Raw genomic sequence first — 24770 nt, 5'->3', positions numbered from 1 at the left:
TTGAGTATACTGAAGAGATATCTGCACTCCCCATGTTTGTCGCAGCAATGGTCACAACAGCTAACATTTGGAAACAACCAAATCTTGTTGATTTGACGAAACTATGTGTTGCAATGTTGATGGAACTAAGTGTCTATCAACAGATAAATGGCTAAAGAAAATCTGGTACATATACACAATGAAGTACTATTCAGCTATAAAAAGGAATGAGATCCTGCCATTTCCAACAACATGGATGGAACTGGAGATTATGTTAAATCAAATAAGCCAGGCACAGAAAGACAAACATCCCATGTTCTCATTTGTGGGATCTAAAAATAAAAAAAAATTGAGCTCATAGACAGACAGAGTAGAAGGATGATTACTAGAGGATGACAAGTGTGGTGGGAAGGTAGGGGAGATGTAAGGTGGGGATGGTTAACGGGTTAAAAAAAAAAACGAATGAATAAAACATACTATTTGATCACACAACAGGGTGACTATAGTCAATAATAACTTAATTATACATTTAAAAATAACTAAGAGTGTGACTGGATTATAACACAAACGATAAACGCTTGAGAGGATGGATACCCCATTCTCCATAATGTGACTATTTCACACTCCATCAAAACATCTCATGTACCCCACAAATATATACACCTACTATGTACCCACAAAAATAAAAAAATAAAATAAAATAAAAATGTGGAATGTTGTCATTCAGATAAACGTTTTCATGCTAACACATTTAACTCTCAGTATACCAGGAAAAACAGTCATCACTATTGACCATCTGGGTCCAGTAGATCTTTATTTTACAGTCAATTTTAGAAAGTAATTTATGGGCAGGGTCAGAGATTAAAAAAGAGGAAGTGATTTATATGAAGAAAAATACAGGAATAGTGAAAACTTCCTTAGAAGTTTTAAAAAATATTAATATATCAAACCTTAATTTTTATTCTACATTTGCTGTCTTTGATGACCTATATACCCGAAATGGGCAACATCCTTTGAATGTAACTGACTAATCAAAATCTATCATTCAAGAACCTGGAAAACGACTTCTTGTAAATAGCTTATTATTATTTCTGGTTGTTCTTCTTGTATTTGCATCATTAAAAAGCAATAATGATTCTAAATTTTAAATACATCTCTGATAGATTCTAGTTTGTCATTACTTCTGATTCTTTTTTTTTTTTTTTGAGAGGGAGTCTCGCTCTGTCGCCAGGCAGCCTGGAGTGCAGTGGCGCGATCTCAGCTCACTGAAATCTCCGCCTCCTGGGTTCAAGCGATTCCCCTGCCTTAGCCTCCCGAGTAGCTGGGACTACAGGCGCGCACAACCATGCCCGGCTAATGTTTTTGAATTTTGGTAGAGATGGGGTTTCACCACGTTGGCTAGGATAGTCTTGCTCTCCTGACCTTGTGATCCACCCACCTCGGCCTCCCAAAGTGCTGGGATTACAGGCGTGAGCCACTGTGCCCAGCCCTGATTCTTTTTCTTATACTTACATTGCCAAATGCTATATTCTTGAAAACTTATGGCTCACTATTTTGTTAAAGAGAAAATGATCTTTTTTTCACTCAATAATTACAAATAATTTTAAATTTTAAATTTATAGCCACCAATTAGAATGAGTAATCCAGTGAATATTTTGTTTTATGTAATCTATTTCCTTCTAGTTACCTTTATAGATACACCTGCCTTTAGCAATTGTCTACTTACTAACTGTATCAAGTACATTTTGGTGTACAAATATCACAGGATATGAAATAATACCGCTGAAAGTTCTTTTTGCAAAATGGGATAGTACCAAGTACTTGTACAAAATATTGTGTGATGAAGTCCTTCTGCTGAATAACTAAGTGACGGGGAATACAATGTTCCCTTTTTGTCATTCTGAATTCTCAACTGTTAAAAGCAGGGGAAGAAAAAAAGAGAGATAAAGTGTGAAGATGTATACAGACTTCTTTGTATCTTTTTACAGACAAGATCAGGGTACGTTCAAGGTGGTATGGCCATAGATATATCTTTTTACAAATATGATGTCATATAATGGCAATAGGAAAACTGAAGGATAATGCAATAGGGATGATTTATTTCACTACTGTGTTATCCTTCTAAGCAATTCCATTGTTGTTTTATTTTAGTCTTTTTGAAAACAGCATATTTAGGGCTGGGCACAGTGGCTCATGCCTGTAATCCCAGCACTTTGGGAGGCCAAGGCGGGTGGATCACTTGAGGTCAGGAGTTCGAGACCAGCCTGGTCAATATGGTGAAACCTCGTCTGTACTAAAAATTAGCCGGGCATGATGGCGGGTGGCTATAATCCCAGTTACTTGGAAGGCTGAGGCAGGAGAATCACCTGAATCCAGGAGGTGGAGGTTGCAGTGAGCCGAGATTGCACCATTGCACTCCAGCCTGGGCAACAGAGTGAGACCCTGTCTCAAAAAACAAACAAAAGAAACACCAAAAAACCCCAACATATTTAGGAGTAAGTGATGAGTAATGATGAAGTAATTCCTAGGATAAACAAAATCACTAAGTACCATAAAGTATCTTAGATTTATAAATGAGACCAATTAACCCATAGGTAATATAACACAGAAGGATTTTTATTGTTTTTATTTTTTTAAAGTATATTTTCTCTTTGATCTTTGGAAAATCTCTAAGAAAAAATAAAAATTTTGAAACACTGATCCTTATAAACTGTTAGAACTACTCAAAAACAAACTTGAAAGCTGAAATTGGGTCCAATGGCACCTGATGTTTACTAAAGGATAATAACAAAAAGCATCAAATAAGTTTGAAAGAAGAGTTGCCCAATGCTTATAAAGTACAATTAAAGCTTACTTGATAGGAAAATCAACTAAGGTATCCAACTTGTCTCTCATGTATCGACTGTAAGAAAATCGCTTGAGATGTACTACAAGTACTGGAGGCAGGGACCATAAATCCAATTTCTTTGTGGCTTGCTGATGTTCTTTACAATTCGGACAATACCTAAGAATAAACAGAAGTATTTAACACTTGATAGAGGTACAAACAACCCCCATTAATGAAAATAATAAACAAAAATGTTTGGAAAGTTCTACATTTATTCAGTGGGCAATTATAGTATGCCTAATATGTACCAGGTTGAAAGCAACTCTTATTATTTTTATTTTCAAGACATTTTCCAAATAGGTTAAACCATTACAAATTAATATACAAATAAATACTTAAAGACATAATGAGGGCTAGATTATTTCTCTTTTAGTATGCAAAAAAGACATAGGTCACAAATCTGTGCTGGAAGACAGGTATTAGAAAATCTCAAATCTGGGCTCTAATGGAATAACACCACAAAATATATCACTACATTTTTCCTAAAAAGCTTCTCTCAAAATGATTACATAGCTAAAATTTCTTGGAAAAAAGGTAACTAAAATGAATTAATAGTATAATGGCTATTATGAAAAACACAGTAATAAAATTAAGGCAACACTGTAATCGTATTTTTTAAGACATTCCCATCCCTCTTAATAGGCTACAACTTATATAAAGAATCCTTTACTATTTAAAACATCAAAGAGAATTTAGTAATTACTTTTTCAACTTGATGTGGCACATATCTCAGAATAAATCCTTAAAGAAAACAAAAACAATTATTTAATTTTGTCTCTTACCAGGGATCTTCAGCACCTAGCTTTTCTTTTGTTGTAAAAAGTTCAATGCAATCTTTTAATTTCACAAAGGGTTTTTTAGGAGGTTTATACTCCACACTTTCATGTTTTTCAAAGTCCTAAAGAGAAGTATTTCTTGAGTTAAGAGAACAAATGAAACAAAACTCATTTTAGTGATACCATCTTACTATGAATAATAATGAAAACTCCTAAACTTTCTCAAAAGAATCATAAAGCTTATTTCAGTTGAGATTTATATACTTCTAAATAATTCCTGTACACTTCTATATGGATGACCAAAACACGTTCAAAATGAACTCTGAACCTTTAAAAAAAAAAGGTATTTTTGCAAAGACTTTTTTTTCTAGTTCATGACCAATTTTTTACTGGCAAAATAAACATATTTGGTGGAAGCAAAGAGTGTAACACAACAGTATGATTATCTCTGGTAATCACATAAAGTAAATCAAGGAAAGGTAAATAAGTGAGTGAGTGATGACTTACCTCAGCAGCATTTTCATCAAAATATCTTTTTTTCAAATCAGGATCCCAATCCAAAGCAAGAAAAGATCTTTCTAAGGTGGAAAACATATTTTTTCTTTAAAATTTAATATGTCTTAGTATTAAAGTATATTTTAATGTTAGGATATACACCAGAATAAACAAACAGCAATCTTTTCTACTTGTACTGGTGATTAGGGCAAACAGCAGTTTCCAAGCCATTGAAATAATTTAAGAGTTTAAAAAAAGATAGAAAACTGAAGCATGAGTTCAATCTCCATTTATGAAACACAAACACACATTTTAGTCTACTTAGATATTAAGTCCTTTCATGTAAAATTTGAGATAGAAAAGTAAATGGTATATTTCTTGACAGAGCTGAATTTCATGGTTTTCACCTAAAAAAAAAATAACATGCTCGGCTTGTTTAATGTTCAAGCCATTTTTCACAAATACTTACCATCTAGCCTAAGCTGCCTATCATCAAATCTTATATGCCTGGTATCATCTTTGATGTAGTTGATATCAGTATTGCCTAAGTTGTTGAACTGGAATGTAAACAATCGTTTTTTGTGTCCCGTGAGTTGACCTTTGCAAGTATCCTCAGTACATAATCCATTTTCAGAATCATTATCTCCTCCAACTGAATCTTCAGACTGACTGTTTTCATTCTCTGAGGGAAGTTCTTGATCCTGGCTGGATTCATCATCTGGCTCATCTGTTTCCATTTCACCTAATTTTAGATATTAGAGAGCTTTAAATAAACCCAATGCTATATTTTTAAATTATTAATATTATTAATCCTAGGTTTCCAGGTATTTTTTAGTTCTTTAATTCCCATTTTCTTAACTTTTTCTCTGAGGCAATTATCTAAGTGAAACATTTGTACAATTTAACAGAAAAGTCTTACTTGGTGAGCCTTCTTCATGTATGCCATTTGGGCCATTCCCATTAATATTTTGGTCCTTACAGCAGTGTAGGGATCCTTCAGTTTCTTCAGTTTCAGTAGATATTTTGACATATCGGCTTAAGTAAAATCAAAAATCAAACAAGTTCAGTACTACAAAGATAAAAACTTTTAAAAAGTTTTCCTTCTATCAGTAAAACAAAACTTTTTAATGCAGTAACAGTGGTCACTTAGTAGATTCAAAGATAAATTCAAACTTTTAGTACCATAAGTATAACTGACTAGTAATTTGTTTTGCTCATCTTTATAAAAATAATTAATATGTTACCTTTTAGGTTAAATGTTAAATGTTTGTTGCAAATAATTTCTCAACTTACCCTATTTAGATGGTATATATTGTTGCTAAAAACACTTATATTTGTATAATGTGATCTTTATATATGGGTTATGAAACTATAATAATTAGATATGCAAGAAAGAATACTAAATATACCAGCTTTCAAGGATAAAAGGGATCAAATGACATTCTTGATAACTTCATAATTCAAATCAAGGGATTTATTCAGGAAGGCAAAAAATAGGCTGCCTTACAATACTATTAATCATGAACTGGTAATGTATATAAAGAAATGAAGCATTTGACATTTGTTATTTCACAGTGCAAACATATGGCATTTGACATTTGTTATGATTTCACAGAATGAACATGTAACACATAATTATTATAACATAAATTCCTATGTCCTTCTAACTGTAAACTTTTGGTTTAAAACTGCTACAGACTTCGTGCTTCCTGGGTTTGAAATTACCTCCATAATATGTTTTACATGAATAAGAAAGTGGATTAGGACTATAATCTGACTATGAACAAAATTGAGATAATACAGACTTGAATAATTATATTCCAATAGTACCTTATGTGTTTATTTTTATTAGCTATTTTATATTTTATTCCCATATTTATTTTGTCAATGTAGAATTGTCTGGCACTTACCACATTCTCAAGAGCAGGAGATTATAAAGTTTGTCTTCAGTATTGTTTCGTGGTACAGCCATAAGAAAGGGCTGACCAAAAAGTGAAGAACCAGTATGGTGGGTATAACTCGAGTGTCTGAATTTTTCTCTTAGGCAAACAGGAATAATCACGTGCTCTGTATCTTCTGTCCTATTGATGTTAATTTCAAACCTACAAGGACAAAACTGACCATAAACTCTCAAAATTTTATGTTACTTCTATTAATTTTTTTTCAAGTAATATTTTGCACAATGAGTTTTATACTTACACATAAATATCATCCCGTTCCATAATACTACTAAGGTTTTCATCCATAGCGAATATTCTGTGAAATCTATGATTGTATATATCAGTAACTATCATCTAAAAGGAAACGAATTTCTATTAAGCTGGTTTTACAGCACTGAGAAACTAAATACCAACTTATATACTTCAACCCCAGAAACATCTTACCTTATCTGCAGGTATTCCTGACAAAGCAGACAATGCTGTACAAAGATCTAATATGTTTCCAATTTTGGGGACAACCACTTTGTACTAAAAAACAAAAAAAATTGTAATGAATTTATTATTTTGGAAAAAAAATTCAGTAAATGAGAGTGACCTCATGGTTGCTATCTCACATTCATTTGGCATTTGGATTAGTGTTTGTCTCCAATCTTGCCACTATCCTGGGTCCTGTGTGACAATGCCCACATGGATAATTTGTCCTAGTTTTATCATTCCTTGGCTCCTCAATTCAAAGACACTTGCATTAATTCAACCTCAGTCAACTTATTAGATCCTGTCATTACTTGAAACTGCTCCCACTTTTGCTATCTTTTTTTGTTTGTTGTTTAGAGACAGGCTCTCACTCACTCTGTTGCCCAGGCTGGAGTGCAGTGGCATGATCTTGGCTCACCGCAGCCTCAACCTCCCGGGCTCAAGCCATCTTCCGAATTCAGCCTCTTGCGTAGCTAGGACTACATGCGTGTGACACCATGACTGGCTAATTTTTATTTTTTAGAGACAAGGTCTCATTATGTTGCCCAGAATGGTCTCAAAATCCTGGATTCAAGTGACCTTCTGCCTCAGTCTCCCAAAATGCTGGGATTACAGGACTGAGCCACTGCACCCGGCCCCACTTTTAGTATCTTAAACTCGGGTTACTGTCTAACCACTACTTCTTGCTTCTCCTGGAAATTCATTCTTATCTCTTCTTGTCTTGCACAGAGATTTCTATTCCTTTTAACTCTTGTTTTCTCCCAGTTTACCAGCTCCCTACTGTCTTCTAGCCCTTCCATCCAGGCCCTACATGCTTTATCACGAACCTTTAATGTCTTTGTTACTCAATTCTATTCATTCCACTCTTGCTAAACTTTCTCAGAGCTGTTCACATGTGCTGAAGAGAATTTCCCAATTTTAGAGGCTGGTGTGCTACAAATCCACAGTGCCCAATATCAATTGATCCTTTGACAGTACTCAGAAATAATTCTGCATATCACACATGTGGTTATTCTCTCATTTATCTCAATAACTATTTAAAATCTTCATTGGGCTGGGCCCAGTGGCTCACGCCTGTAATCCCAACACTTTGGGAGGCCAAGGCAGGTGAATCGCTTAAGCCCGAAAGTTCGAGACCAGCCTGGATAACATGGCAAAACCCTGTTGCTACAAAAATACAAAAAATTAGCTGGGCTCGGAGGCGCACACCTGTAGTCCCAGCTACTTGGGAGTCTGAGGCGGGAGAATCCCTTGAGCCCAGGAGGCGGAGGTTGCAGTGAGCTGAGATCACACCCTAATGTACTCCAACTTGGGTGACAGAGCAAGACCCTGTCTCATTAACAAAAAAAAAAAAAAAAAAAAAAAAATCTTCACCATTCTTTAGGCTTCCTATTTCACTACTGCTCCCTTAATATCAGCAGAATACCTATTTCATCTCAAAAACAGAAACTACTGGGTGGGAAAATCTCCAACTTCCTGTTCTACTAACTTCTTTGAATCCACATAGGTACTTTTCTGTCTCTTGCAACACATGGAAAGAAAGATGTCTCTCTTCTTATTCAAAGCTAACCTTAGCGTCTATGTTCTAAATCCCATGCTCTTCTGCTTTCTCTGGGACCTAAACCAAGCAATTATTCTTTCTTCCATTTTATCTCAACTCTTGCATAAGCATTGGAATATAAAGTCTCTCAAAAAACAAGGGTACCTCATTGCTTTCCCTCTAATTATCTCCCCTTCTCCTCTATTTTATAAATAACTTTATTAATGATATCTATATTATCATAACTTCCTTATCTCCCATTTACTTCTCAACCCTCTTGCTGGCTTGTCTTCGCCTCTTTATTTAACTTGTTTCCAAGGTTGCCAATAATGTTGTACAACTTATCAGTCTTTATTTTATTGACCTCTTTGTAATATGACTGCTGACCACTTTCTCCTTAAAAAATTCCCTTTCCTTATAACACGACTACTTTTAATTCTTTTCTATTGCTGTGATCATATTCCTCTTTTGAAGTTCTCCTACATTGTTCTTTAGAGTGTTGTCTTTAGCCTTCTTCTCAATTTTATATGCTCTCCTTGGAAGAGGCAACAGTGTCTCCTGATTTGCTTTGGCCAGTCCTGGATTAGCCTGCTATCCTAGTATAATTATTAATGACAGTCCCTTCTATTTTCAAGAGTTCTTGTTTAGATGATAAATCACGGGGTCACCTTAGCCTTAAGTAATCTCATCCTTCTAAAACACTATCATTTTCATAGAGCTGATTGTCCAATTTATAGCTAAAGCAGTCTCTCTCCTTTGGTCTAGATACACAAATTCAATGCCTACTGGATATCTCTACCTAAGTGTTCCTCATGCATCTGTAAGTCAGCATATCCAATACTAAACACAGGTTTGGGTCATGTTAGGCCACCACGTTCAATACTAAAATGGATTCCTTCTTCAACTTGTTCTTCCTATATATTCCACTAAAACAGCACTGCTGTCTCCTCTTTTCCTGTCAAGTAAACTTGGCATCATCTTTGAATATACTTACACATTTTCACTTCCTACATTCAACTGGTTCTTCAAACTGCCATCCTGACAGAGTTGAAGTGTTTGTCATTTGTCTGTCGTCTGATCATTAAAAGCTTCTTACCTGGTCTTAGTACTAAGCCTTTTCTAACTGATCTCTGTGCTACCCAGAATCATCTTTCTGAAACATAATTGTGGCCATATAATATCTATACTTAATAGTCTTTAATGGCTTCCCTAGTTTTTAGGATGAAGTTCAAACTTCCTATACTGGCATCAAAGTTCTTCGTGATCTAGCTCCTGCTTGCCATATTAACTACTGTAGATTACAGAAGTGGGCCATGTCCTCTTCTCCCATAAGTTCTTTGTACATGCCATTATCTTGGCCTATAATGCTTTTATTTCTAGTTTTCACCTGCTTATAACCTAATTGTCCTTCAGAATTTATCACAGGCCTCATAACCAGTTTGGGTAGGTTACTCTGTGTTCTCTTGCAGCACCCTGTCAGAGCAATTTTCACACTGTATGACAAGCTTCTTGAAGAACAAGGACTAGAAACACCATTATATTTCTAGCACCTTGCACAGCATAAGAGCCTAAGATATAATATATATTCAATATTTTTCCTAATAAGCTTCCATGACCTAAATCAACTTCAATGACGGGAAAACTCAACAAATAGGGAAACTCAGCTAATTTCACTTTTCTTACAAGCTGGTCAAAGCATAGTGTTAATGAAATGAGGTGATCATTTTGTATTTGAGTTGTTACTGCCTCTAAATGGAAAAAAGGAAAAAAAAAAAACACAAAACACAAAAACAAACGAATTTCTCTGTGCTAACCATGGCTCTAACCTCCGCAAATTTATATTATTGGTCACCAAATGAGAAAAGTGATAAGTCAATGAAATTCACATTGCTGGAAAAATAATTTAGAGCCCAATTTATGGAAGAGCACTTATCATATACCTTATGGACTAATGTGTAAATTAATGCAATTTGCCACTATTGATATAGATTACCTTATATTATTGGCATGGGAGAATATTATCTCTAACAAATGTGCTGTAGAGAAATAAAACATCTACATTTATTTTTTGTTGCAGTAAATTTATACTTATTATTCTACGCTCTCTTGCTCCATTACACTCATTGGTGTATATCTGCAAAGTTATAAACTAGAGAGGTAAGGATGTGGTTTGGCACTGTTATAGTTTCTCACCATTGAAAAGAATGTTGACAATCTTGTACTTATAAACGAGTGAATAAGTGAATATCTAAAGGATATAACTTTAAAAATGTGAACACATATTCCCCAGGCCAAAAGTAAAAGCAGGTCTTTATTGGCTCTGCTCACAGATAAGGGATAGTACTTAGCACTCTCCAGTGAAATACTGATATGAGGGCATTGTGTTCAATGAGTTCATAAAGAAAACATAAAGCAGCAGAAAAACAAATTGCTTAAATTTGCATAACTGAGTACATACCTAGTATCTACTAGACTTTAATTACTTTGAATAAAAGGACTGTGTGTTTATGAACACTACATATACCCTGTCTTTGTTGACAATAAACCCAAATACATCCCTGAATGGTAAGATCATAATTTTGTTCAAATATAGCTTTCATATAGACATCGTGACTATTATGCACTAACAAACTGAGCTATTTGGCTAAAAATTTACAGAAAACAATCTTCTAAAGCAGGAATCATATCTTTTTTGTTTAGCCAAAGAGCTTTATACTTAGTAGGTGCATAGTTAAGTATCTTGATGAATAAAATTTTTGAATACTTCTTGTGCATTAATATTTACCAGCCACAAAAGCTGGAAATACAAAGGTTTACAAGGTCTCTGTCTTCAAAGACTTGTAGTCTAGGGATAAAAGATAAAAGTAAGCCAAAAGTTATAACAAAATTAGTTAAGTGTTAGAATTTAGGGAAAGAGAGGTAGAAAAAGAAGAAGTTACTTTCACTGGGATGGGTCAAGTGTCAGAAGAGGATTAACTGATTAATAAATAAGGGAGAAAAGATAGTGCTTTACCCACAAAATATAAATAATCCAATTATAACACTAGGTAACGGAATCAGGCAGACAATTTGACAGTAAGACTTACCACAGGACTTTTGCACAGAATAAACAATATGTGATACTTCAAAGTATTAGAAATTAGAGAACATCACTGAACAAAATATTTTTAGTCTAACTGAATTTCTACTTTCTTTTAAGTTCCTAAAATGCCTAAAAATTACAGGTATTTAAATACACTACTATCACACTATGAATTAAAAGTATTAGCTTTACTTCCAATAGCCACTAGTAAAAAAAAATTACAATTAACACTAAAGAAAGTTGAAGTTTAAAAAAATTAAAAATATTATGTTGATCTTCATAAGCTAATATTCACCCCAATATTATAAAAATAAACCTCTATAAAAAGCCTTTTGAGAATTTTTTATAAGACACACGTTGCTCTTTCAAGACTGTAAAAAGTTACACTGATTTCCAAAGTATTCAGCTTATAAAATCTCTTATACAAATAAACATTATTGATTGGGCTTGATAATTCAATACTTAATTTTTATAATAAGGACTCAACACTAATTTTTTAATAAAAATAACAAATGCAAAAAAAAAAAAAAAAAAACAAAACAAACCAACCCATGATTTACCTGCATAGGTTTGGTAAGTGGATCCATTCTAACTAAGTAAACTTCCAAGGTGCGTTCTTTTTTCATGGGCAATGGAAGTGTCAAGTAACAAAAAGGATCAAATGTTACTGAAATCTTAGCACACTCAGGACAAACTAAAGTTGATTTGAAAAGGCCATGAAATATATCTACTATGATAGAATCATTTCGTTTTAAATGGTTTTCCCAGGCTTCTTCGGCAACCACCTACAAGGATAATAGACACAAATTAGAAAGAGGTATCACAAAATTATAACAATGGTGACAATAGGATCATGAAATTTACCTTATCTGGCCTTCCATCTGCATCTTTTAATTGTATATATGGTTTTTTCCTAATTCTATTCAAATCCTCATGTAATCCATCTAATAGGAAAGCTAACAGTTCTTGACAGTCTTGCTGCTGATATCCAGAGAACTGAGGTGCAAAACGTCCTACCTGTGTCTGTAAGAAATGCAAAACCATCAAATCAGTTCTAGGAACAGGGTTGATTTTTAAACATATGTACAATAGATTCTCATTATTCATGGATTCCACATTTGTGAATTTGCCTGCTTTCTAAAATGTATTTGTAACCCCAAAATCAATTCATGGTCATTTGTAGATATTTTCAGAGTGGCAAAAAATTTGAGTCACCTGATATGCATGTTACCAGCTGGGGTTGAACAAGGTGATGCTTTGGCTTGTTGTTTCAGCTCTGAATCTATAAACAAGTGTCCTTTGTAGTTTATTTAGTGTTATGTTTTTTCACATTTTTGTTTGTTTTGTTGTTAATTTCAGTGTTTAAAATGGTCACTAAATGAAGTACAAACATGCCAGCTAGTGTTCCTAAATGCAAGAAAGCTGTGATGTGCTTTATGGAGAAAAAGTATGTGTTAGATATGCTTCATTAAGACATGAGTTATAGCACTGTTTGCTGTGAGTTCAATGTTAAGGACTCAACAATATATATTAAACAAGTTGTTTTTAAACAGAAACACATGCAAAACAAAGTTATACATTGTCTGGTTGACGAAAATGTTGTGAACAAAGGCTTGGAGGAATCAAACCCTATAGTTTCCCTAGGAGTAATGGTTCAGTAGTTGTTATTTCAGTGTTTGTGGCAGCTTCATTGAACATAACTCCTGTGAATAATAAAAATTGTATACACGAACAACAGGAATATATATGAATTATATTTTGTTTTGCATTCCTAGTAAGCACTCAACAAAGCTTATCTGGGACAAAATAGATCAACACATGTAATCTTTAATATATAAAAATGTATTGATCTTTGTTTGGTCATAGATTTCATTGTCATTAATTGTTGTTTCACTATTTGTCAAAGGATTTTCCAGATGTCCTTAATTCTTAGCTTTAGGTATTCCTATTGCCTCCTCCTATAAATGTCTGGTAGGTAGACAGGAAGAGGCAGGTTCTCATCCTTGCTATATTACCACATAAAGATAATTACGTATCTGAAAGCATTTTTAAGATAACTACTCTAGGCTCTCACTTAGTTTCTATGCGCAAAAGGAGGATGAGTATCACAGAGATAACAGAAACATTAATGTTCATATTCAATTTTCCTAATCTTTCATCACTAAGTATTTTTGTTTTTGGATGAGACTGAAAATAAATGTAATAGTATGAATCATCATCTGACAGAAAAAAAGTCACACATAAAGAACCTATTTACACATAATTTTAAGAGAGAAAATCTACCAAAATAAAACCAATTAGAATGCTAGTAAGAGCTGAGAGATGGTTTGTCTGGACTAGTTTGTCCAAAGTTTAGAATGTTAAGGAAGACAATACAGAGGCATTTTGATTTGCTGGTTTTTTATTTTCTAAGAACTAGTATATAGCTAATAAAAAATGTTGTCCAGTAGATGTCCTCTATCAATGCCATTTAAATTACTTGTATAAATAACGACTTAAAACTGCTTATTCTCTCTACAAGTTTAAAACTTCTCAAAGTTTCACCTATATAATTAAGTAGGCATTTTTTTAACAATATAAAGCTAAATTTCAGCCATAAAGCTAAATTTCAGCTCAATTCTTATTTGAACAATAAATTATTTGATAAGTAACAATTCACACATGTGAATAACCTTAAAAGTTTAAGAACTATATTGAAAGTACATTTAATTTTTAATGCTTGGTTTGCAGACTATTTTCATTTTGATAATTTTTCAAATTCATAATGACTCTCAAAGTAAAATGGGTTCTTAGAGTTCAGTAACATGCCCAAATTTAGTCTTTTACATTTGTATAGAATATTCACATAGGTTTTCCAGAGATGTACTATATTCCAAAACAACTATACAAACGCTCATTGCTGTCTCTATACTCATTCTTGTACCACACCAGTGTTTTTCAACTTTTTTTCATTATTCTCTCCATTCCAGATTTAGATGTAAAACAAAAACAAAAACAAAAACAAAACAGATAAACTGTTCCATATCCCTCCCACCTAAATTTTATATCACAGATGTACTGTATATCTATTTATGTACTGTGTTCCTTTGGAGGGCCACAAACCATTGTAATAGCTACTATTTTTCACTCCCCCTATCCCCAAGAACCAACTTTTGTACCCTTGCAGGTACCCTTGCTAAAATGCATTTACCACACTAACCTTAAAGGCTCTTGGGGTGACGTAGCTAAACTTTCCAGACCACATTTGCTTGATCAGTTCGGCATAAGATTTAGCTATTTCACCTCTCATTCCTAAGGGATTGTCAAAATTCAGTTCTTCTTGATACTTATCATTGAGGAAATACTCAGTAAGTGGAGGTGTGTTGCTCAAACACTGCAAAAAATAAAATATATTTTCAAGTAAAAGTAATCATAATGAATTTTTCTTAAAACACATTAATATGAAGAGAGAAACAAATTGATTTGCTATAACACAGAGAACATTTAAATGATGGTTTCTTGCACTAATAACTGGTCAAATAAACACTCAAATGATGTACTCAACTATTCATTTCCCAAATTTCAAAATAATTACTTATAATAAATAAAAATGCTAATATCCGCTGCTGTAAAATCTGCATTAATTTTAACCACAGCAAACTACCTGGTAACTGGGAGAGAAGCTCAGTTTTCTTTCCTTCTTTTACTTGATTGGTAGAAATTATGGATTGTCTACTCATCCCAGGCACCTGCAAATTAGCCTGAGTAGGTAAAAACTGAGATAGAGTGCAAGCAAGAAATTAACTTAATAGAGGTATTTACTGCTTCCATTGTCAATTATTTATCATGAAAGAGCAGCCTTTAAACCTTCCATATGGTCAACCATTTTTAGAAGAGACAGTACAGATTACTTGAGCCTGAGAGAACAAACTTTAGTATGTGAACTCTGGTAAGTGTGTTCTCACTTCCAGCTCTTTAATTTCATAAACGATACAATTTTCCTTTATGGCAAAATAAAAACTATAAATAAGTTAATTTTCCAACTCTTTCCAATTCCGAATTAAAAAATTTCATATTTAAAATAAAACATGGCAGACGTACAATTTTTCAACATTTTATCTCAAGTTGGAATAATTTTAAGGTGATGATCCATATAATTTGACCTCAATACAAACCCAGTATTACATTATCAATTAGATGTCTATAATATGCAACGACTAACACAGACATATGGTCACATAAGTAAATTTTTTTTGCTGTAGGATGATATTTGTGTTGGAATTAAGTGGCAAAGTGCTGCAAGGAAGCTAGTTGCTTGCATGGAAAATAGTAGAAACTCACTCTTATGAGAGCCTGGATTCACATTAATGGAAATCAGAGTTTTTCGAAGCTTGCTTATAGTCATTTGTATTAAGTTAGACAGGTTTGGTAGCTATGAAAGGTTCAGCCTGTTGAATTCACACAGATAACTTACATGCCATAAACTACGACTATATACTATGCATTGTTTAGCTAAAATTCCAAAATAAGCAGAGTCAACATTTACTTAGTTTTTTAGAATAATTCTGGTACTCAATTTTGTGGTTTCAATTATAAATCAACATGTTTACTGAAGTAGTCAATAATATCTATTTAGAAACTTTCTATATAATAAAAATAATATTATTTATTATAAATTGCTAGCCTGGCCCCTACCTCAAGGCAAAAGGGACAACTGGTTATAATATCATGGAATTTACGATTATATAATTCTTAGGCAACGAAAATAATAAAAACAGCTAAAATGTTTGGAGTGAGCTATATAGGCCTTTAGAGTCATATACATATTTTCAGCAGTAGAACTTTTTAATATATGTGAGCAGGAGAAAGAGAGGTATGCTACAGTGTAGGAGGCAATTAAGAGAAAGGATGCTTCCCTAACTTTTTACCTCTTAGATCTCAACCTCTCTCATAATCTTATACTCCTTTTGAGTTTCAGTTTCTCTTCTTCCTTTGTATTATATGTCCTTTTAATTATAAACCCAGCACTAAAGGGAGATCCAGGCAATTTAGAATGCATCATAGCTACACAGAGGGTAAATGCCATCACTTAGTATCATCTGATTTAGTACAAAATAAGATCAACATTAAATAGTCAGACAAAGGACAGGTCAGATAGGAATTTCCAACAATTATCAATAGTTTTCCGCTTCTTATATTTGATCAGCTCAGGGTTATGCTAAGAATGTAACATTCCATTATTGTCTGTTAATGCAATTATATAAAGAACCTAATTTACAAATATCTCAAAAGAACCAAGTTGCACAAACCTGAGTAATTCTTAAACTTTGTTATAACTTAATTATTCACATATACTCTTATCTTGGAAAGAGCTTAAAGGTATAACTGAACATTTTTTAGCTTTCCAGTAGTATCCAGAGTGCTCTCCCTAAAATGTACATCTCATCATGTTGCTTCCTTGCTATAAATCCTTTAACGGCTCTCCCTGCTTACAGATTGGAAGCCCAAATTCTTAGAAGGGTCTGTCTTTTGCTCATCTATGTAGCCTCATCCTTTGTCAATACCCTTTTCTTTTCAACTGTTCCAGCTTTATTTAATTAGTCATTCCTCCACATACTCTCTCAATCTGAAAGTCTGCAACATTACTTCATCTACTTGGAAATGTACTTTTTTTTTTTTTTTGGCCTTACTAACTTCTATAAATCCATCAAGATTCTGGCATCCTATCTGGGAAGCCTCCCTTAGATTTCCTTACAGTGTTTTCTCCTGTATGTTTCCTTAATGCTTACTGCTTACTTTTATTACAGCACTTATTTGATAATATACTGTAACTTTAATTTTTAGTTTGTTTTGCCAAATGAACTGAGACCTCCATGAAAGCAGGTACCAGGGTATTCTTATTTATATTTCCAGCACTGAGCACTATGTCACGTAGCACTGATCATGTTCACAATAAATGTATGCTTACTAAAAATATTTTTGCCTGTATTTACTAATGCATTTATCCTCTTGATTTTTACTCTTTTCCTTCAATGTTTGGCATAGAGGGTTCAATAAATTTTTGTTGAATGAAATACTACTTACTAAATGGAGGAAAAATATATTTCTAAAGAATAATCTCAAAAATATCTTCAAGTACTTCTACCTAATACTAAACCATACGGGCAGTACAAATTTTTCTGCCCCTTTGTCTGATTTTTCATTCAATCTACTATCTGCTTTGTAAATGATCCTCTGCTTTGATTTTTAAAAACTCCTTGAAACAGAGACCAGCATTTATTTTCACAGTGATACATGCTGGTTTCAAACTGATTATAATTCAATGTTAACAAATAACAACAAAACACAAATCATTTTAATGATAATTTGCCTGTGTTATCTGTGAAGATATCATAACCAATATTTAAATTTAAGCTATTTAGTCCTAAATGGGCCCAAATAAACATTCTATTTGTTAAACATATATTCTAACAAGCTACACTTCCTAACAAGTTGTATAAACACATATAAATACATAAATTCAATAGTCAATATAATTGTTCTACTAATACACAAATCATATTAGTTTAAAAACTAAGATGATGTCCGATATTTCTCCCTCATAAAAATACCATCCTTTCCACCCTCATCTTGAAAATACCATTAGGAGTCAATATGTTCATTTTATTTTTTGTTCTGAGATGGAGTCTCACTCTGTCACCCAGGCTGGAGTGCAGTGGCACAATCTTGGCTCACTGCAACCTCCACCTCCCGAGTTCAAGCGATTCTCCTGCCTGAGCCTCCCCAGTAGCTGGGATTATAGGCGCCCACCACCGCACCTGGCTAATTTTTGTATTTTTTGTAGAGTTGGGGTTTCGCCATGTTGGCCAGGCTGGTCTCAAACTCCTGACCTCAGGTGATCTGCCCGCCTTGGCTTCCCAAAGTGCTGGGATTACAGTCATGAGCCACTGCACCAGACCTTGAGTTAGTATGTTCTTAAAATAGCATAAAGACCGGTTAAAATATTAAAAGTTCTCATAATTTTTGCTAAATTTCAAGGCATAAATGGAAAAAAAAATCAAGCAATTAAAAATATTGCCACGCCCCACGTGATGTTATATCAGTATTCAATGTCATCATTCTGGCAGAAAAAAGAAGCCGGTTTCTTTTTTTTTTTGGAGATGGAATCTCACTTTGTTGTCCAGGCTGGAGTGCAGAGCACAATGGCGTGATCTCAGCTCACTGCAATCTCTGCCTCCCAGGTTCAAGAAATTCTCCTGCCTCAGCCTCCCAAGTAGCTGGGATTACAGGCACGTGCCACCATGCCTGGCTAATTTTTGTATTTTTAGTGGAGACGGGGTTTCACCATGTTGGCCAGGCTGGTCTTGAACTCCTGACCTCAAGTGATCTGCCCACCTTGGCCTCTCAAAGTGCTAGGATTACAGGCGTGAGCCACCGCACCTGGCTGAAGCCAGTTTCTTAAAGTTGGTCATAATGTAGTTTGATTAGTAATTACTTTATGCAATTCATTATTTAACATTTTCACATGAGGCTATCTTAGAACATGAACATTTTTGACAATTATAAGAACACTAGTTACTTGGACTGGCTGCAATTAAATACCATGTTTTAATGAACAAAGATAATTTTCAGTCAACAATAATTTATTGTACATTTAAAAATAACTAAAAGAGCATAATTGGATTATTTGAAACATGAAGGAGGGATAAATGCTTGAAGTGATGGATACCTAATTTACCCTGATGTGATTATTATACATTGAATTCCTTTATCAAAATACCTCATGTACCCCCTAAATGTATACACCTACTATGTACCCATAAAAATTAAAAATACATAAAATTAAAAATGTATAATTTTTATAAGGTAATTAAAATAATAATCAGTTCTGAAGTATCTATCTCGAAGATTCTTCTACTATAAAAAAATCATTTTCCTATCAGATGAGACTATCCCAAAACAATTCTTTTCTTAAAGACATATATGTTTTAAAAATCTTCCATGTGTAGGTAGCAGTAGAAAACTTCCCTTTTATCCTGTAAGACACTTTACTGAGTGATGCATTATAATATGGACTAAAAATCGGATATGTGTTGTGCCTACGTGAATATCTCTTACTCTCAATGCTTCCTGGACTGTTAAACAGGACAAAACTTTCTGCAACAGCCATGGTTGTTCTTAATAAAAACTGAGAATATATATGAATGTATCATGACAAATGAAAGAGATTATATAAACAGTATTAGTTAGTATGTTATTTTTGTGGCTACTTATAAGTTTTGTGACATGTCTACCAGTCTCATGCCATTTGGAGCTATGCCCCTGTTAATTTATTGGAGTTCAACTGCCTGACATTAACAAATGCCAAAACTTCAGTGTTTCAGGAGAACTAGATCTTAAAATTTATCACTAATATAACAAGGTCCAAATATGAGGCTATGTGACTGATCATAAAACATATTTCTTAAGCCACATTTTTGTTTATATCATAATGGTACCTACTGTTGGTCCTAAAATTGGGTAGAATTTAAATATGTTAAAAATAAAGCAATAGCCAGACTAAAGAAAAAGACTTTGTACTAATAGTTCCAATTTTTAATGAAAAAGAGAAAAAGAAAAAAATTTATATTAACAAGTAAATGTACTTATTAACTAGGTTATTTTTATATTTAAATATTTTCAAATGCTCCTATGTAAGTTATTAGCACACAAAACTGACAACAGCATTTGAAAATTTAAGGATTAAAAAACTAAATTTCATATTTAGTATATGGTAGACTTTTGGAGCTCACTAACCATGATATAATGACTGGTTGGAAAGTTTAGGACATGAGCTATTATGAAAAGTTGATCCATGAGTAATGATTAAAAAACTAAATTTCATATTTAATATATGGTAGACTTTTGGAATTCACTATGATATAATGACTGTTGGAAAGTTTAGGACATGAGCTATTATGAAAAGCTGATCCACAAGGAAAGGTAACAATGGCTATTGTATGTGCAAGACAATTATTTAGTGAGAAATGACTGCTAAGTGGTTTTGTGGTTTTGAACTGGCTTTGTGGTTCTCTACTTGTGCCTTCATATATATTTTATATGGGAAACTGCAAGTAATAAGAGTACTCGAATTTGAATTAGGCGTCTTAAGACATATTCCTTAGTTTAATGTATTGAGACTGCATGCACTCTTGCCTTTCTTAGAATATTCATCCCCTATAAGAAATTCCTATTTATTCTTAAACACTTATTTCAACATCTCTTCTAAATGTCGTATCTTCCTCTGTGTATCAAGGAAGAACGAATATTCCTTTCTCTGGGCTAACTTGATACCTCGAACTCCGTTACACCGCACTTGAGAGCAGAGTCTATGTCTTATTCACCCTTGTACCTCAGGGTCTATCACAATATCGGGCACACTCAAACAGGTATGTGGAATGAATGGGAACTTGTATAGTAGAAAGATTAGAAGTAGTCCTTAGAGAGACTTAGAGCAGTGAGAAAAAACTTGACTAAAATGAGATCTGAATTGCACTCTGTTATAATTCAAATGCAGCCCAAAGTTCTCCATGTTCAAAAATAAAAGTCCAAATGATGCCTAAAGAGGTTTTCCTAATGAAGGAAAATAACCCTTATGATTTCCCCAACAACTATCAAGATAAATCCGTAAGGAAAAGGTATGCAAAGGAAATATGTTTGGAAATATATTTTTATGAAGATCATTTCCCCTAAATCTTCAACCTCGAAGCAGACATAAAAATTCTAAAGAAGAATTATTCTAAATAATCAAATGTCTCATCCAATGGACACTCTGTGATATGGTTCAATATATTCAGGCCATTAATTACACCTTGAAGAATTATTTATAAAAATATTTGAATGGTTTATGCATTCTTTATTAAAGTACTAATTCTCTATTAAAAACTCTCTAGTTATAAATACCCTTCCTTAACCTAATATCCTAAAACTGAAATATTATGCAAAATATGATTTTCTTTTGTTATGTAATTACTTGGAAAGATGCAATGCATTGCACATAACTTTTCTTTATATACACATGCACAAATTCTATTGCTCTTCCATTATTTTCAGAAAGTACTTCTACTAAGTATGTTCTGACTAATAAGCCTGATGTTTCTAGAGTTATCTGAAAAAATATAACTGCTGCATGTAAGAGTCTCAATTTTGTATTTTGCTAAATTTCTACATAAGTTTTTTATAAATTGATGAAGTCAAATAATGTTCTATTATATAACCAAATCTCAAGTCTTCAGTCAACATATTTTAGGAAATGAATAATTAATAGCCATCCCAATAACTTGTAATGCATTTGGAATTTCCCCAGTACCTGGAAAATAGCCAAAGTAATCCCCTTCAAAAAGAGAAAGTTGTCTTTTGTAATGCTGAATATGAACCACTCCCTTTCTGTTCAGGTGCTCCAGAAGCCCAATTCTCAAGTGATCATGTATGCTCACTATTTTAGTAAACCGGTAACTAGAACAGGAAAGAAAACAAACTTAATTTTTGATTACCTAAAGCTTTTGAGTTGTGTAACTCATTCTATAACTAATCAAAAGGTAATACCACTCACAACCCTTAAAAAAATGGCTATACCTTCTAACTGACCAGTACTAAAAATAAAAGCCCATTCTAAATAAAATAAGGGATTCATTCTTAGTTTGTTATGATTTAAAAAATAAAACTTGAAGTAATCCATGGTTAAAGTCATCTTGGAATACCTTTAAACAGTTTTTTTCTGGATTTTAAGGTTAGATGGAAAAGAATTTTCATATTCGCCATGTCAATTGTTTTCTAATTAATCATGACAATAGTATAAGCATTCTGAAAAGGTACTGTATGATTCCAAAGCAATCTACTAATATTGGGATATTGGCTCTAGTTCTGTAATGCTACACAAGTGGATAACACAGCAAAGTTTGAGGTAAACTTTTTCAATTAAAAACTACAAATATAGGCCTGTTTCTTCATCAAGCAGATTTTTAAAATGATATATTTTAAGTCACTTGATGTTCTTATTTTTGTTATATTTTTTCTAAGAAAGGGAAATCTCATTAAATTTGAGAGATCAATTCTGAAGATCACATATTTTGTGACAGCAATACAGCTACAGCTCTGTTTTACTTTATATCTCCATTTTTCTTCAACTTTAAAAAAAGAACAAACTTAGGCAAGTAAAATAGAAATGGATATAATTTTCCTCTTATATTTTTAAGACTTTTAACTGCTTTTTTTCCCCCGTCAGTGAAGAGAGAACTAGCATACTCTACTTAAAATATTAAAATGTTAAATAAAGGTAGTTTTAAAGGCAAGGTTTTTGAACTGGACAAGGATGTTGTCCTAACACTTGAATATATATCATTAATCTGGTCCCTGTGCTTAAGACATGAATAAAATTAAACTTCATTTAAAGTCCCCACTGTTGTCCCTTCTTTGAAATTCTATGGTATTTCTTCTTCACATACTATTTGAATTCAATGAAGAATTATCAAAGTTCTAGGAAGTATAAATACTGACACTGATGGGAAACATTTTGTTGGCTAGCAAAGAAATGTCAATCCTTTTTTGCCCTCATCTACACAGGACCAAGGAAGGAAAACTCTAAGTTTGTCAAAAAGACTACCCTATTACTTGCAGTGAGTAAATTCTGTAACTACAGATGTCAATGTTAAAAAAGCCATGATTATGTGAAGACCATTAATTTTCATATTGAAAGCCAAAAAAAATATGGATAGAGGATTCACTTATGACACAGATAAAAGTGGAAGTCTCTGTGATAATTATTTCACCAGCAAAAAGGCTAGAAGACTAGGACAAGTTGTTTTTAAATAAGGTTTTGAAACTATTAATACTAGATTATGTCAGCAGTTGTCTGACTTCATTATTTTATTTTTAGTAACAGGCTATTCGTGAATTTTAAAACTTTTTCATATATTCACTTTATGGGAAGTATGCTAAAACCAGAAGGTTCTAATAACATTAAGAAATGTTGGTGTAAGTTATATTTATTTTAAAGAATGGAAGCTTAAATAGAAGAATTGAATGGAATTCAATTTTAATGTTAAATTACGTTATTTCCTATCCCATTAATAATTCAAAACTGACTCACAATGAAATTTAAAAGAATTAACTTTTTAGGCAAGCAAGACAGTCAAAGGATTTATGAAAAAATGGTTCTTTATAATTTTGTATGTGTTCAGTCCCTTGCACATAATATTCAGTAAAGAAACAATTTTGAATAAATAAATATTAAGAATTGTGTGAGTTTACTGATCTTAGTTCTTCTGCAAAGGCATACAGGAAAGGACAGCAGAATTTTTTTTTAAAGTTTATTGATTTGTTACATTCTTTAAGAGAAACAAGCCATTTTTGTAATAAAAAAACTTTAATTGTTCAACAAATATTAAGAGATCATTACTTCAAGAGTCTCTGTAAGTATACAAATAATGTTCTAAAAGAATTTTTTTCCTATCATTCACTGAAATCTTTCAAGGAACTATTTCCATGGTGGTACTGATATGATCTGCCCAGCTGTGACTAACATGCCAGCTCAATTCAAGTGCTATCAGATCGACTGCATTTGCAGGACCGTATATGGTCCAAGAGTTATTATACATATATAGGTAGCTCTCTGACCCTCCAGTTGCAAGAAATAAATATATATATTATGTGCTATAATTCTTACTAAAATTACTGTGCAATCTTTGGGAATTTAGATAGCTCAGGTCAAGTTTCAAATATCTCTGGTAAATAATTTTTTCTAATGCAGTGTTTTGCAAACCAGGTGTGTGAAAGAACTAATTTTTTTTAAAATACCGAACACATTATTTTTATTAAAATACATCTTGATGTACATTTCACTAATTCTTGCAACAGCTCTGAAAAGTAAATTTAGTAAGCGTTATCTCCTGTTTTAGAGCTGAAGAAACTAAGTCTTGGAATAGATAAGTAACCTGCTTACTCACACACACAGAAGAAGTTGCAGAGCTAATATACAAACCCAAATATTTCCGCTCGAGCTATTTTTACCTCCTGATGCTATTCCCAGTTTTCAAATGATTAGCTCCACAGCAAAATACACTTTCCTCTAAATCTATATGGAAGATAATTTTCCATGTTTCTCAATGACCTAGAAGGCACTTCAGGTAGAAGCTTTATTGTGGGTGTGAAAGTGCAATAATTACATGGAAAGGACTAATTTTTTAAAAATTCCACCACAGATTGGTACTTGTGTAAGATATAATAAAAATGAACCGCTAGAAAAATAAAATTAAAAACACTCATATAAAAAACAAGTCTTGCTTTTTATTATTAAACTTGATATAAAATTACCCTATCAAATTGCTATAGAGACTTTTGATCACTTACAATTTCTGTGCTTATTTTATTGTTGACCAGAATTATCTTGTCCATAGACACATTGTAAAAAACACTGTTCTACTGTGCTTACGATTATCTGGTACTATACTAACACTGGGGATATAAAAGAAAACCAAAGATAGCCTCTGCTTTCACAATTCTCACCACATAATACGTATTTGTCCATGAGAAATGGATAGAAGAAAGAGAGAAAGTATGAAAAACGCAAGTAGGGAAGCGG

General features: G+C 33.0%; 1 protein-coding gene across 13 annotated transcripts in view; it reads right to left on the bottom strand.

The window, feature by feature from the left end:
- The window catches only part of USP15 (ubiquitin specific peptidase 15), a 155986-nt gene that overhangs the window by 20354 nt on the left and 110862 nt on the right, over positions 1-24770 (bottom strand). For 4 of the 13 annotated variants that reach the window (NM_001351159.2, NM_001252078.2, NM_006313.3 and 1 more), the window contains 11 exons: positions 14373-14546; positions 12038-12196; positions 11734-11958; positions 6522-6605; positions 6337-6431; positions 6048-6239; positions 5057-5172; positions 4607-4879; positions 4150-4220; positions 3649-3764; positions 2834-2983 (listed from right to left, as the gene is read on the bottom strand). In NM_001351159.2, the coding sequence (NP_001338088.1) occupies positions 2834-2983; positions 3649-3764; positions 4150-4220; positions 4607-4879; positions 5057-5172; positions 6048-6239; positions 6337-6431; positions 6522-6605; positions 11734-11958; positions 12038-12196; positions 14373-14546 (1655 nt within the window). Of the gene's footprint in view, positions 1-2833; positions 2984-3648; positions 3781-4149; positions 4221-4606; positions 4880-5056; positions 5173-6047; positions 6254-6336; positions 6432-6521; positions 6606-11733; positions 11959-12037; positions 12197-14372; positions 14547-14816; positions 14902-21500; positions 21647-24770 lie in introns of all 13 variants that reach the window. The other 9 variants (NM_001351165.2, NM_001351166.2, NM_001351163.2 and 6 more) reach the window with 6 other exon arrangements.

This window comes from Homo sapiens, chromosome 12 (assembly GCF_000001405.40).
Source record: "Homo sapiens chromosome 12, GRCh38.p14 Primary Assembly".
NCBI lineage: Eukaryota > Metazoa > Chordata > Mammalia > Primates > Hominidae > Homo > Homo sapiens.
The sequence above is the reverse complement of the archived record's forward strand: the minus strand, read 5'-3'. Positions and strand labels throughout refer to the sequence as shown.